Consider the following 15,070-nt stretch of genomic DNA (forward strand, 5'->3'; position numbering starts at 1 on the left):
ATGACAAGTGCCAAATATCAAAGCCTGTACAGGAGAAACCAAGAGTAGGTGGGTTTGAAGTAACTTTGTTTGAGATCTGAAACTCCTTCCTCATTCCTGATCCTAATCTGTCGAGGTTAGTCAACAGCTAGTTAATTGTACAGTCCAATACAGAAGCTACTACTATATGTGCTGATATAAATTCAATTTTTTTAAATTTAGAAACAATTAAAAACTCAGGTCTTCAATGCTCAACAGCCACATGTGGCTAGTGGCCATCATATGGAACAGTTCAGACCTAGAACATTTCCAACATCACAGAAAGTTCTACTGGACAGTGTTGTACCTTGCATGTCTTATCTCTGCTTGAATTAAGAGCCATTTGCTCTGATATAATCTTTACATGCCAAAGTGTAAATAATCCTTTTGATTTTTAAGCAGTAAAGATAAAACTATGTACCACAAAGGACATTCAACACTCCCCAGTAGAAAGGCACTGAGAACCCTTGGGCCTCTTGGTTGAAACAGAGAAACTAAAACACAACTAAGAGAAATTAAAGTTGAACAGGGTATAGTGAAACAGTCCATTTTCCTCACTTAATTGTTCTTCTATAAAAAGGGTTAATCTCATCCCAGAAGATTAGGGATATGTGGAGCTCAATGGACTATTAATAAGAAGCAATTATTCTTCAGAAAAAAATTTGTGACTGGCAAAAGTAAAATCAAGTGAAGTGGAAATTTAGGTGGGTGAGGAGAGGAAAAAGGGAGAGCAGGAACATGTTTTGCAGTAAGAAAATGGCAATTAAAATGCATAATTTTTAATGTTTAGTTTATGATGTTTTTGAGACAGAGTCTCGCTATGTAGCCCAGGCTGGAGTACAGTGGCACAATCTCAGCTCACTGCAACCTCTGCCTCCCAGGTTCAAGCAATTCTCCTGCCTCAGCCTCCCGAGTAGATGGGGTTACAGGCGTGCGCCACCACACCCGGCTAATTTTTGTATTTTTAGTAGAGAGGGGGTTTCGCCATGTTGGCCAGGCTGGTCTCGAACTCCTGACCTCAGGTGATCCACCCCTCTCGGCCTCCCAAAGTGCTGGGATTACAGGCATGAGCCACCACGCCTGGCCTAGAATTAGTGATTTTTTTAAAAGAGCTTTTGGTCTGTAGACATAACTACAACTGCTTAAAAATATTGATTATCTAGCTAATGAAAATGATCAATGCTAAATTTTATTCATAACACGTATCTCCACCAGGGGAAAAATTACCCAGGTACAAGGAAAGCTTCCACTGAAGGCTGTCACAGTATTTCACCACCCACTGTCACCCCTGACTGGTGATCAAGAAAACTAAACAAATACAATTAATAGGGTAGAAAAGAGCAACACCTGCTAAGAGGTGATGCTATCCCCATGAACAATACACTTTCCCTCTGGTAAATGTAGTGCTGAAAACGCGCTAGGTATTGAAGGAAGAGAACATACAGGAATCCCATGGGGGGCTGTTTTTAAGAATAAGCACATCAGCAGAATTCGGTTTTGCCCAGTTTACGATTCAGACGGTTACTTCAAGTTAATAGCACATATTAAGGTGTTGTTCTGAAACAGGGACATAGAGCACTGCTTAATAAAGGGCTGCAGGTGCCTGGTGAGACTCCAGCTGCGAGGTCATTTCCTGCCCTCCCTCCCTCCTTCCAGAAAAGATTAAGATTGCTTATATAAAATACAGTAGAAATAAATACAGAAAGTAGGAGAGAAAGAGAAAAACAAGGGTAGGGATAAAAAATGGAGCTGAAAAGGACGTTAATCCCATACATCTACCACAGCAACCAGAGTACCACACTGGTTGAGTTGCTAAACCAAGAGTCAACTCTGAAGGAATCAGTGACCAACGGTGAAGACAGACCAACTGCTCAGGAAGGAGACAAGCTGGTCTGGGAAGGGGTTCATCCTGCAGGCCCTGAAGCAGGTGCTGGGTAATCAGTCCACTAAGGCCATCTGTAACTAATGGCAGCTCTTTCACATCAAACCTAGAAAGATGGAGGCAGAACCAGCCCAGATACACTGGAACTTCCCTGTTTAATGGTGTAGTTCCCAGAGTTAGGGCATCTGTCCTAACAGTCAATCAGTACCTATTGGTCAGAATCAGCAAGTGGCTTCTGTGGACAAGGCACTAGGAAGACATGACACCAGCTGGGGAAGATGACCAGATCGAATCTCACAGAGCCCATTGAATCCCGACTCAGCAGACCCTACCCAGCAGCAGGGATTCCTGACCCCGACCCCAACACCAAACCCAGGAGATCCTAAGCTGGCTAATACAGCTCTCTCCTCCCACAGTTATGGTTCCATGTTTTTTCAATACCATGCTTTCTGTCTTAGTCTGTTTTCAGTGGCTATAACAGAATACCACAGACTGGGTAACTTATAACAAACAAATTTACTTGGCTCACAATTCTGGATGCTGGTGGTGTCAGCATCTGCTTGGCATCTGGTGAGGGCCTTCTTCTTGCATCAAAACATGGCAAAAGGGCAAGCAAGCCCATGATACAGAGAGAGCAAATGGGGGCCAAACCGAATCCACTATCAACAATAATCCACTCATGAGGGCAGAGCCCCATGGCCTACTCACTTCTTAAAGGTCCCATCTCTTAATGCCATCACAATGGCAATTTTGACATGAGTTTTGGAATGGACATTCAAACCTTAGCACTTTTCCTCGATGACAGCTTAATAATTCCCACAAAGCCAAGTCCATCCCCTTTCCACAGTCTATCAGGTCCCCAAGACAATAATCTGTGTGAGGACCCACTAGTCACAGCCTTGGTGCACTCCCTTCACCCAGGCTGGGGAAAGCAAAATCAGGATATCCCTTCAAAAGCCTGGGGAATCCGGGCCTGCTTTGCCTGATATGGGGGAGCCCATTCCATCAAAGTGTGTTTCCATTTCCTCTACATTCATGAAGAAGAGATCCAAGCTGGACTCACTACCACAGCACACATACTGTGCTTCACGCCATACTTGACAGCACAGTCATCACACTGAATACTTAGTCACCATGAGACTCAATGTAGACCACAAAACTCCCTGCGTGATGGAAATGCTCTAGGTCAGTGCCGTACAATACAGTAGCCACTAGCCGCAGTTGGCTATTGAGCACGTGAAACGCAAACAGTCCAAATGGAGACACACTAGAAGTGTAAAATAGACATGGAATTTCAAAGACTTGCTGCAAAGAAAAGAATGTCAGATATCTCATTAATAACGTTTAATATTAATTACATGCTGAGGCTAGGTGAGGTGGCTCATGCCTGTAATCCCAGCATGAGACCTGTCTCTATTTAAAAAAAAAATTCAAAAATGATCCAGGCATGGTGGCACTCACCTGTGGTCCTGGCTACTTGGGAGCTGAGGTGGGAGGATCGCTTGAGCCTGAGAGGTTGGGGCTGCAGTGAGCTGTGATGGCAGCACTGCACTCCAACCTGGGCAACAGCGCGAAACCCTGCCTCTACAAAGAAAAAAAAAAAAAGGACTACACACAGAGCTGATGAACTTTGGAGGTTTAGTAATGACGGCAAGGGCGGTAGGCTCGGGGTAGCCCACAGCAGAGGGCGGTGGGGAAAATGATGAAATCTAATGTGCTGTCTGGTTCTTTCAGCAGAGACAGAAGGAATGCTCATCCTTGGAGAGGATTGTGAGGGACCTGGTTTCACACAGGGGAAGCCAGGATTGGTTGGTTGTTTTGCCAAATTTTACCTACTTTAGGGAAGGAAAGTGTGGTTAAGGGAGAGAACTTGGTACATAAGAGGATGAAGGGGCTGGGCGCGGTGGCTCAAACCTGTAATCCCAGCACTTTGGGAGGCCAAGGCAGGCAGATCACTTGAGGTCAGGAGTTCAAGACCAGCCTAGACAACATGGTGAAACCCTGTCTCTACTAAAAATACAAAAATTAGCTAGGCGTGGTGGCATGTGCCTATAATCCCAGCTACTTGGGAGGCTAAGGCATAAGAACCGTTTGAACCGGGGAGGTAGAGGTTGCAGTGAGCCAAGATCACGCCACCGCACTCCAGCCTGGGGGATAGAGAGAGACTCTGTTTCCCGCCCCCCCCAAAATTAATTAATTAATTACATGCTGAAAGATAATATTTTGGAACATACTTGACTAAGTAAGTTGTATTATATTAATTTCACCGTTTCTTTTTCTTAATGTGTCTACTAGAAAAATTAAGATTACATATGTGGCTAGCATTCTGTTTGTATTAGCCAGCACTGACTTCTATTATTTGGTCTTTTTATTTTTAAAATTTTTTTCCTAGACGCCAGGCCCAGTGGATAGTCTTTTTCTTTAAATTGACTTATTTTCGCTTAGTTTTTGTAGTTTTTTCACTTTTTACTCATTCTGAAAATATTCAGAAACTGTAGCATGATGTACTAGTTGTAGTTTTAAAATAAATTGAAGAATCAACAGAACTATTAATCTAAAGTTAAAAAGATAAGTCTGTCCACATGCAATCTAAAACCCTCTTATGTACCATACCCTTTGGGAAATACTGGCCCAGGGCAGAGCTATTCAAAGTGTGTCCTGTGGACAGGTGCCAGTCTCTCTTTTTTACGTTTTTTTTGTTTGTTTGTTTTTTTCTTCAGGAAACCCTGAGCAGCCTAACCCTGATGGGCTGTGGGGAGGGAGCACAATCTCTTTATTATTCATTATCAATCTGCAATAAAGAATAAAGGCATAAATTGAGAGCATGCTTCTTTTTTATTTTATTTTTTTTTTTTTGAGACAGAGTCTCACTCTGTCACCTAGGCTGGAGTGCAGTGGCGCCATTTCAGCTCACTGCAACCTCCACCTCCCTGGTTCAAGCGATTCTCGTGCCGCCGCTTCCCGAGTAACTGGGACTACAGGTATGCGCCACCACATCTGGCTAATTTTTGTATTTTTAGTAGAGGCGGGGTTTCGCCATATTGCCCAGGCTGGTCTTGAACTCCTGACCTCAAGTCATCTGCCTGCCTTAGCCTCCCAAAGTGCTGGGATTACAGGTGTGAGCCACTGCACCCCACCGAGGGCATGCATTTAGAACATTTACAGCAACTGGACAGAGTATTCTGTTACTTAATGAGCTCTTTAAATCTAATATTAATCTAACCTGATATTTAAAAATTGGGACTTGTATTTTCCATGTCTTTCATATATTTTTCTTTACTGTGTTTTACCAAGATACTGGTCAACAGCAGATTGGAAATTTACAAAAAAAAAAAAACAAAAAAACTAAAAACTGCTCCTTTACCAGAGTTAGTTTGAGACACACTAGCCTAGAGTATCAGAGAATCTTCCAGGGTCCTTCTAGAGCAATGACCACAGTTAACAGCAAGAACCTCAATCATACCCAACACAGTGTCCTAAGGCAGGAAGCCGATTAAGGGTATCTTCAGATCCTTAACAATAATTGTGGGCACAGAGAGGATGGGGGGTTCATTCCTGGTAAACTAGGAAATTCCATTAAATGGAACTTATCTTCCTCTAAGCATTTTAATAACATTTTTGCTGTAATTCTAAGAAATGAGATCCCCATCGCCTTTGGGGAGAAAAACAACTGTGTACTAAGTAAAAGGCATACAAGATCTTTGTAAGATGTGGCTAGATAGTACTGAGCTAGATCCTCAGAGGGGTATAGCAGATGTGGGAGACACAGCTCATGCGCGAAAGGAGTTTATTATCCATCCGTGGAGGCACAGTGGCACGGGGGGTTAAAAATTCTCAGCTCTGGGTCAGTCATGGTGGCTCACGCCTATAATCCCAGCACTTTGGGAGGCCAAGGCAGGTGGATCATAAGGTCAGGAGTTCGAGACCAGCCCGGACAACATGGTAAAACCCCATCTTTACTAAAAGTACAAAAATTAGCCGGGCATGGTGGTGCACGCCTGTAGTCCCAGCTACTCGGGAGGCTGAGGCAGGAGAATCGCTTGAACCCAGGAGGCGGAGGTTGCAGTGAGCCAAGATCATGCCACTGCACTCCAGCCTGGGCAACAGAGCAAGACTCCGTCTCAAAAAAAAAAAAAAAAAAAAAAAAGTTTCTCAGCTCCGAAGTCAAACACACTTGGGTGTGAAGCCTGGTTTGCCACTTACTGTGTGCCCTTGGGCAAATAACTTAACCTTTCTTCTTTTTTTAATCTCTCACCTCTCGCTGAATACATAACCTTTCTTAATTAAAACATATAATCAGCCCACTGTATTCAAGGGTTGCATATCCAAGGATTCAACCAACCACAGACTAAAAATATTCAGATTAAGGCTGGGCGTGGTGGCTCATGCCTGTAATCCCAGCACTTTGGGAGGCGGATCACCTGAGGTCAGGAGTTCGAGACCAGCCTGGCCAACATGGTGAAACCCCGACTCTACTAAAAATACAAAAATTAGCCGGTTGTGGTGGCAGAGGCCTGTAATCTCAGCTACTTGGGAGGCTAAGGCAGGAGAATCACTTGAACCCAGGAGGCAGTGGTTGCAGTGAGCCGAGATTGCACCACTGCACTCCAGCCTGGGCAAGAGGGTGAGACTCCATCTTAAAAAAAAAGAAAAGATTCAGATATTCAGATAAAATAAAGTGGATGGTTGCACAGACTTTTTTTTTTTTTTTGGTCATTATTCCCAAAACAACGACACAGTATAGCAACTATTTGCATAGCATTTACATTTATTATCAGTAACCCAGAGATGATTTAAAGTGTAAGGGAGGGAGGGGCACGGTGGTTCACGCCTGTAATCCCAGCACTTTGGGAGGCTGAGGTGGGCAGATCACTTGAGGTCAGGAGTTCAAGACCAGCCTGGCCAACGTGGTGAAACCCGATCTCTACTAAAAATACAAAAAATTAGCCGAGCGTGCTAGTGCATGCCTGTAGTCCCAGCTACTTGGGAGGATGAGGCAGGAGAATCACTTGAACCCAGGAAGCGAGGTTGCAGAGAGCAGAGATCGCACCACTGCACTCCAGCCTGGGTGACAGAGCAAGACTCTGTCTCAAAAAAACCAAAACAAAAACAAAAATGAGCCAGACATAGAGGTATATGCCTATAGTCCCAGCTCCTTGGAGGGGTTGAGGTGGGAGGATTGCTTGAACCTGGGAGGTCAAGGCTGCAGTGAGCTGAGATCGTGCCACTGTACTCCAGCCTGGGTGACAAAGTGAGACTCTGTCTCAAAAAAAAAAAAAAAAAAAAAGTATAAGGGAGGATGTGCATAGGTTACACGCAAATACTATACCATTTTATATCAGGGACTTGGGCATCCTTGATTTTTGGTGTTCTTGAGAGGTGCTGGAACAAATCCCCCATGGATACCAAGGAACGACTGTACTTGCCTATTACAGTAGATATTCTCCAAAAGGGCCACTAACAATTTCTCATTTCCCAGTAGGTGCATGCTGCCCTCACATCAACAGGTGGAGTCTATTTCCTCTCCCCTTGAATCTAGGCTGGCCTTGGGACTTGCTTTGACCACTGAACACAGCAAAAATGACATTCTGGGACTTCTATGTGCAGGCCTTAAGAGAACTGGCAACTTCTGCTTCCTTATTCAAAGCACAGCAGCCACGCTGTTAGAAAGTCCAGGACAGACTCTCTGTGATTAGGTACCTGGACAATGAGAGACCATCTTGGACATTTCGAGCCCAACTGAGCTCCCAGCAGACCAGCAGACTGTACCAGCATGAGGGACTCCAGGTGACCCCAAATGGAGCAGCAGAACTTCTCCAATAAGCCCAGGCAACCCCCAGAACTATGAGGGTTGGCACATAAGTGCTCAACAATTAGCGGCCATTACTGTCTGGGAAGCTAAAATGAACATGTGCAGTATATAACTGCAGACCGCTGTGTACATTACATTCAGGTTCTGAGCGCTTTGCAGGCCCTGTGGAGTGGGAATGTACAGGAGGTGAAAAGGCAAGGCTTCAGGGTAAAAGCGCGTCTTAGACCTGAAGGACAGAGTATGCAGAATATTGGTTTCTAAACCTCTAATGCATGAAGACCCACCCACAGACTTCTAGGCAATTGCAACGCGTGTCTGCACCAAAGGCTGAAGACTGTCCCGGCAGAAGTCTCGTGGTCTCTATATAGACAGATGGGTAGTTGTGAGGCCGGGGGAATGAAGAATGTCAGTGAGTATGGGGATTCTTTGTGGGGTGGTGAACATGTTCTAAAATTGATTGTGGTGATGGCTGCACAACTCTGTGAATATACTAAAAACCATCGAATTGTGCATTTTAAATGGGTGGACTATATGGCATATGAATTTTATACAGATGATAAAGCTGTTTATTTTTATTTTTGAGTCAGGCTCTCACTTTGTCACCCAGGCTGGAGTGCAGTGGCACAATCTCAGTTCACTGCAGCCTCGACCTCATGGGCTTAAGCAATCTTCCCGCCTCAGCCCCTAAAGTAGCTGGGACTACAGGTACGTGCCATCACGCCCAGCTAATTTTTCGTATTTTTTGTGGAGACAGGGTTTTGCCATGTTGCCCAGGCTGGTCTTGAACTCCTGAGTGCAAGCGATCTGTGGGCCTCAGCCTCCTGAAGTGCTAGGATTACAGGTGTGAACCACCACGACCAGCCATAAAGCTGTTATTACAGAAACACAGAGGGTGGGACGGATGAAGCGGGTGAGATGACAAAGGAGCAAGGAACATTCCAAAGGGTTGCCTGGGGGCTACAAGGCACCAACCTATTTGGCACTGAGAGGAAAAGCCAAGTCTTTTTAGGTGGTGAACGAACCCAGCACTGGTCAGAAGCTAGGAGCCCTGGGGACAGACCCTGTCATTCCAAGGATCTCAGGCATTTGGCATCACTGCTGTTGCCTCAAATGCTTTGCATGCATGCGGCTCACTCATACCTGTTTTCCTTTCGCTTAAATGACAACCCAAACTCTGCTAGTCACAAGGCTTTTAAAAACAGAAAAAGTTCCTAGGCAAGAGGAAAACAAATGCTTCCCAACAGAAAAGCAGATGGGGGCTTGCATTCAGACTGACCTCAGAGGCAGACGAGGCGGGATCCCAAGGCCTAGTCAGACCCAGAGCCTCAGATGCCAAGACGGTAAACTCCATATTTAAATGCGGCCGACTCAGATGTGAGGTGGACAGTGGACACTCCCTCCCTAAGGGCGGCTGCCCTCTACTACCCCCTCTTCCTTCTTCTGGTGAAATTCCTTTCAAAAGGGACCGGAGGGCAGGGCCATGGGAAGTTTTCAAATCTTGGAACTGCCGCCTGAGCCAACTTAGCACATGAACAGCCCCCTAAAACCAGGCAGTATCATTGTATCACCAGCCAATATATCTCATCAAATCCTCTCAACAAGACCCACCAGGATATTTACCAACAGCCCCCAGAAATCTCCATCTCTCGCCTGCCCAAATCAACCTTGTGAATCCTTCTGTTTTGTAAGGCAATCAATGTAATTACAAGAAGACAAAGTGTTCTTTTAAAACACTAGCCACTGCAGAAGATGGGGCACCTGAGAGGAAAACATCCTTTCATGTTGGAGAGGAAGCAGGTTAGAAATGACAGACTTTGAGCAGCTATGTCACCATGGCTAGGATATGAGAAGAGAAATCACAAAGACTTTCAGCAGTTTGTCCTGAAGGTCCTGCTAAGTCTAAGTCCTATGCTGCCATCAGTAAAAAAAGCCAGGAGCCACAAACCAAATACAACTTTGTAGGAAGTTTGTGGTCCTTCCTACTACCAAAGAGACTCTAGAGGCACAAACTCAACTTGTTCTCTTGTTCTTCTTGATCTGAACACTTTTTTTTTTAAGATCGGAGTCTCACTCTGTCGCCCGGGGTGGAGTGCAGTGGCTCAATCTCTGCTCACTGCAACCTCCGCCTCCCGGGTTCAAGCAATTCCCTGCCTCAGCCTCCCGAGTAGCTGGGATTACAGGTGCCTGCCACCATACCTGGCTAATTTTTGTATTTTTAGTAGAGACAGGGTTTCACCATCTTGGCCGGCCTGGTCTTGAACTCCTGACCTCGTGATCCGCCCGCCTCGGCCTCCCAAAGTGCTGGGATTACAGGCGTGAGCCACCACGCCCAGCGATCTGAACAGTTTTAGGATTAAAGCGTTCAAGAATGGTTTTAAACACAACTTTGAAAAAGGATGAAGAACTCCGATTTCTTGGGGACCCAATGCCTTTGCTACTCGGGCCCACTCTACTTTTTTTTTTATTTTACAATTTTTAATTTTTGTGGCTACATAGTAGGTAGTAGGTGCATATATTTCTGGGGTACATGAGATGTTTTGGTACAGGCATGCAATATGAAATAATCATATCATGCAAAACAGGTTAGCCATCCCCCTCAAGCATTTATCCTTTGTGTTACAAACAATCCAGTCATACTAGTAGTTATTTTTAAATGAACAATTAAATTATTATTGACTATAATTACCCTGTTGTGCTATCAAATACCAGGCCTTATTAATTCATTCTATTTTTTTATACCCATTAACCATTCCTACCTCCTTCCCACCCCCCAGTACCCTTCGCAGTCTCCAATAACCACCTACTCTCTATCTCCAGGCCCCACCCTATTTTGTTTTTCTTTCGAGACGGAGTCTCGCTCTGTCACCCAGGCTGGAGTACAGTGGCGCGAGGTCAGCTCACTGCAACCTCCGCTTCCTGGGTTCAAGCGATCCTATGCCTCAGCCTCCCAAGTAGCTACGATTACAAGCATGCGCCACCAGGCCCGGCTAATGTTCGTATTTTTAGTAGAGATAGGGTTTCACCATGTTAGCCAGACTGGTCTCAAACTCCTGACCTCAAGTGATCCACCTGCCTCGGCCTCCCAAAGTGCTGGGATCCTGGGCATGGTGGCGCAGAAGTTGCAGTGAGCTAAGATTGTGCCACTGCACTCCAGCATGGACAACAGAGTGAGACTTCATCTAAAAAGAAAGAAAGGAAATATGGTTGAGATCTGGTGATTCTATCTGCTGGTTAAAGGTTGTTAAGCAGATTGAAACAAGCACTTGCTCATTTGTTATACTATGTGTATCAGACAAGCACTAAAATGGACAGTAGATCTGGTAATTTCTATTCAGAGGTAATTAAAAGGAAAGAAAGAAGGCATCACTAGGGGGTAATGGGAACATGCACAGGATTTCAATATCGGAAGAACCTGTTGCTAGAGGAAACCACCAGCGGTATTTCCTTTCCGTCTTTTACACAGCTCCCAGGAAAACCACTTGCCAACTCATATCCCCTAAGTGTGCAACACAAAATTGTTGGACAGCCTAAACATCTCAGGTCTTTCTGTATTTTGCAGCCTTGACAGCACCCAGCCCAAGCTTAGGAACAATGGTTGACTCTCTAGAAAAGCAGGTTAAGTCTCATTAGGAATGGGTCCCAAATGCTAAGGGCCTGGGTAACCAAGAATGATCAGTATCCAGGACAGATAATTATAAAACCTCAAAATCATAATTTTTCTAAGGAGACTTTACTTAAGTACCTGGCCTTGCTAACTCCCCCAAACAACAAATGGTGGTATCACCTGGCACCTAAATTAAACATTCCAATTTTACCATACCAACCTTAATGCACATAGGTGCTTATTTCACATTTTAAACCTTCACACATATTTTTCTATATTTCCAATTTCAAATGAAGGAAGATATCCTTAAGCTAATCTTAATATCAGAAGAGTGCATTAAATGATTCTACAATAGTTTCCAAACAGAACTTATTAAGAATCTCCCCCGCAAAAGTACCTCCTCCCCTTCCCCAATTTTGTTTCCATTAAAAAAAAAAAAAAAAAAACCCCTTAAGTTCCTTCAAATAAAATCCAAGATACACTGAAAACCCAATCATACCGCCCCTCCCCACCTCTCATGAGTACAACAGAACATCGAAACAAACTATTATTTAAGCTCTCAACCAAATAAAAATGCAAACTGAAACAACCTCTCCTTTTCAGTGTTTTATTATACAAGGTCGCCTCTGCCACGGAGGGTCGTTCTGGTGGGTAGTTTCCAGGTTCTTCCCTAGCAGATGCAGCTTGAGTGTTTCAAGCAAAAAGGATAAAAACAAAAGCACACATTTCAAAGGTAGTTATAACGTTATCCTGTGACAGTTAATGAATTCTGCCTTTAAAATAGCATAATGAAAAATACAAACTGGAAATGATTTAAGCTATCTCCTCCTCCTAAGAATGATGCAACTGAAGGCCCAGTCAGAAAATACTACCTCGCCCCCTCAACCCCAGTGAAAAAGCGTGTTTTAAGAAGATTTCTCTTGATTTCTTTCCTTTTCTTGGCCCATCGTATATAAAATACTCCCATCTTCACTATGTGATAATTCATCGAATTATAGTTTTGTGTGGTTTTTTAAATGCATATTAGACTGCAATAAAAAATGTTTTAAAAATAGCCTGCCTTATTAACTAAAAATAAAAAAGTTGTTGTCAGGAAAAACAGCATGAAATCGGTTTCCATGCTGCTTACACCCCCGCACTACCTGCAACCACTTTACAGAACGTTAGCATCAGACCTGCTTATCTAAAATCCTGCCAAATGTCCTCACAGTCTCCTCCGCTGCCTCGCTGGCTTCTGGGCAGCCAGGGACCAGCCCTCCATGGCTCCCAGCATCGGCAGCCTCGAGGGCTGAGAGCCTTGTTTGCCCCGCTGCCTCGATTGAGGGCCGCGGCCCGGCCACCTGAGCAGCGTTCCCAAGACAGGGAGCGCATCCGGGCGGGAGGAGCACCCGGTCCGGGGCAGACGCCTGGCCGCCCGGGCGAATCTGCCTCTGCCAATGGGTGACACGCCGATTTTGCCCCCTGGAAACGCCAAGAGGCGCGAAGCTGGGCCACCTTCGCCGCGGGCTGCAGCGGCGCTCGCGCGCGTTTCCCAGAACGCAGAGAGAGCGCGCGCGGAGGCCGGGGCAACCCCAGAACCCCGCTCGGTTTATCCTAACGACCCCCATGCCGGCTGCTCCTCGAGGACGGGGACTGGACCCGCAGCACCCCCTCAGGCACCTCCATCCCAAACACACCTGCCGCCCACCCTAAGCCACCCCCCATGTGTACCCACTCACCCAGGTCGCCCCAAGAAAGAACCCCGCCACTCGCACAGAGAGGGGTGCGGCCCTTGGATGCACGTCCGGACGATCCTGGGCCAGGGAAAGGGCGTTTATCTCAGCTCTGCGCCGTGCCCCTTCCCCCCACGCTCGAGGACCTTTGCCCTGGGCCGCCGGGCCCGCCCCCCCACAGGAACCCGAAGCCCTCGGGCGCCCGCCACACTCTGGGGATAATACCTTGAGGCCGGTAGTTGGGCTGAGAGGTCCGCACCGCGCCCGGTTCTGCGATCTTCCCTGGGAGAGAGGTTCCCCGCGCAGTCCCCTCAGGCCGGGATCCCGTCCCGGAGCCGCCGCCGCCGCGCTCCATCGGGATGCGCCGGCCGCACAGGCGCACTGCCAAGCCCGCCGCGCCGCACCGAACCCGCGCGCGTCCGCATGCGCACGCGTCCTCACGCAGCACGCGCGCAGGGCGTGCACGTGCGATAAGCGCACCGGTTACCACGCACAGCGCACGCAAGGCGTGCACGTGCGATAGGCGCACCGCTTCCACGCACAGCGCACGCAGGGCGTGCACGTGCGATAGGCGCACCGGTTCTCACGCGGCGCGCGCTTGTAGCGTGTGCATGCAATGTGCACAACAGTCCTCACACAGCGCGTACGGGCGTGCACGCGTCCTTACACGCTGCTGTACACAGTGCACACACAGAAGGCGTGCGTACGCACACAGTTCTTCATACGATGCTTACATGCAACATGCACACACAACGTGCACACCCAGCGTAAATGCATCTTCTCACAGTAGCAGATACACACTCAAAGCGTGTGTAGATGTAGGGTGCAGTTTCTCAGACACCGTGCACACACATCCTCACTCAATGTGTGAACACAGAGCACATAACGCGCACACACGTGCTCACTCAGCACGCACACGCTTACACTCACTGGGTGTCTGCATGCAAACTCAGCAATGCAGCCTTGGGAACAATTTCTGGCTAGGCCCCCAGGTGGGTGCCAGTTGGGCCAGTGACATCTGTGCAGACGCCAGAGGACCCGCCCTCCATGCATAGTTAGGTTCCAGTTTTCGAGGCGCACGGGTAATCAGTGTTTAGTGACGCCCCACCCTCAGCGTGCGGTCACCCAGAGAGGGACAGCAGCAAGCTATTGGGGTCGATCTTCAACTAAGAGGCAGCGGCACGCGCCGTAGGCCGACCTAGGCCTTTCAACGACACCCTACTCCGCAGCCAATTTGGTTCCTCTTCTCCTGAGGCGTAAATAATGCTGACTGAAACCTCCGCGATGCCGGGTGTGGTGGCTCCCGCCTGTAATCCCAACACTTCGGGAGGCTGACGCGGGCGGATTGATTGAGCTAAGGAGTTCGAGACCCCCGTCTCTACAAAAAAATTTTAAAAATTAGCTGGGCATGGCGACTCATCTGTGGTCCCAGCTACTTGGGAGGCTGAGGCGGGAAGATCGCTTGAGCCCGGGAGGTCGAGACTGCAGTGATCACGCCACTGCACTCCAGCCTGGGCGACAGAGACCTTGTCTCAAAAGCAAAATAAAACAAAAAACCTCTGAGGAGGATCTCTCCGAGAAGACACACAAGAAACTGCTAAACGGGTTGCCTCCTAAGTAGGCACTTTTACCACTGCCATGCACATTTATTATCTTTTCAAAAACATTGAAAAAGACATCTTGGCAGGGCCGGCTCAAGCCTTTTGTTTACCCAGGCCTGCCAAGTGATAACCCGTTCCCATGGAGCCCCAGGCTGCATGTTTTTTCTCGTTGGAAGGTGACCAGCCTGAAAGTTTTATTACCACTCCTGGGGGGAGATATACACGATTAAAAATGAAGCTGAATAATGGGTACAGGTTTTCTTTTTTGGATGAAAATATTCTAGGATTATGATGAGTGCACAACTAAGTATACTAAAAACTATTGAATTGTACATTTTAAGCGGGTGAATTTTATGGTCCCTTAATTATGTCTCATTTTTTTTTTTTTAATGTGAAGCTGAAACTCTCAGGAATGGGCACCTGTACTCTTGGCCAAAGCTG

The 15,070-nt window shown here is 46.7% G+C and overlaps 1 protein-coding gene across 23 annotated transcripts in view; it reads right to left on the bottom strand.

Annotated features, from left to right (window-relative positions):
* The window catches only part of MAP7D2 (MAP7 domain containing 2), a 110,195-nt gene extending 96,784 nt beyond the window's left edge, over positions 1-13,411 (bottom strand). For 14 of the 23 annotated variants that reach the window (NM_001168466.2, XM_005274480.4, NM_152780.4 and 11 more), the window contains exon 1: positions 13,254-13,411. In NM_001168466.2, coding sequence (NP_001161938.1) covers positions 13,254-13,383 — 130 coding nt within the window. In that variant the 5' untranslated portion in view covers positions 13,384-13,411. Of the gene's footprint in view, positions 1-13,034; positions 13,145-13,253 lie in introns of those variants that run through there. The other 9 variants (NM_001168467.2, XM_047441983.1, XM_017029397.2 and 6 more) reach the window with 1 other exon arrangement.

The sequence above is a fragment of the Homo sapiens genome, chromosome X, assembly GCF_000001405.40.
Source record: "Homo sapiens chromosome X, GRCh38.p14 Primary Assembly".
Taxonomy (NCBI): domain Eukaryota; kingdom Metazoa; phylum Chordata; class Mammalia; order Primates; family Hominidae; genus Homo; species Homo sapiens.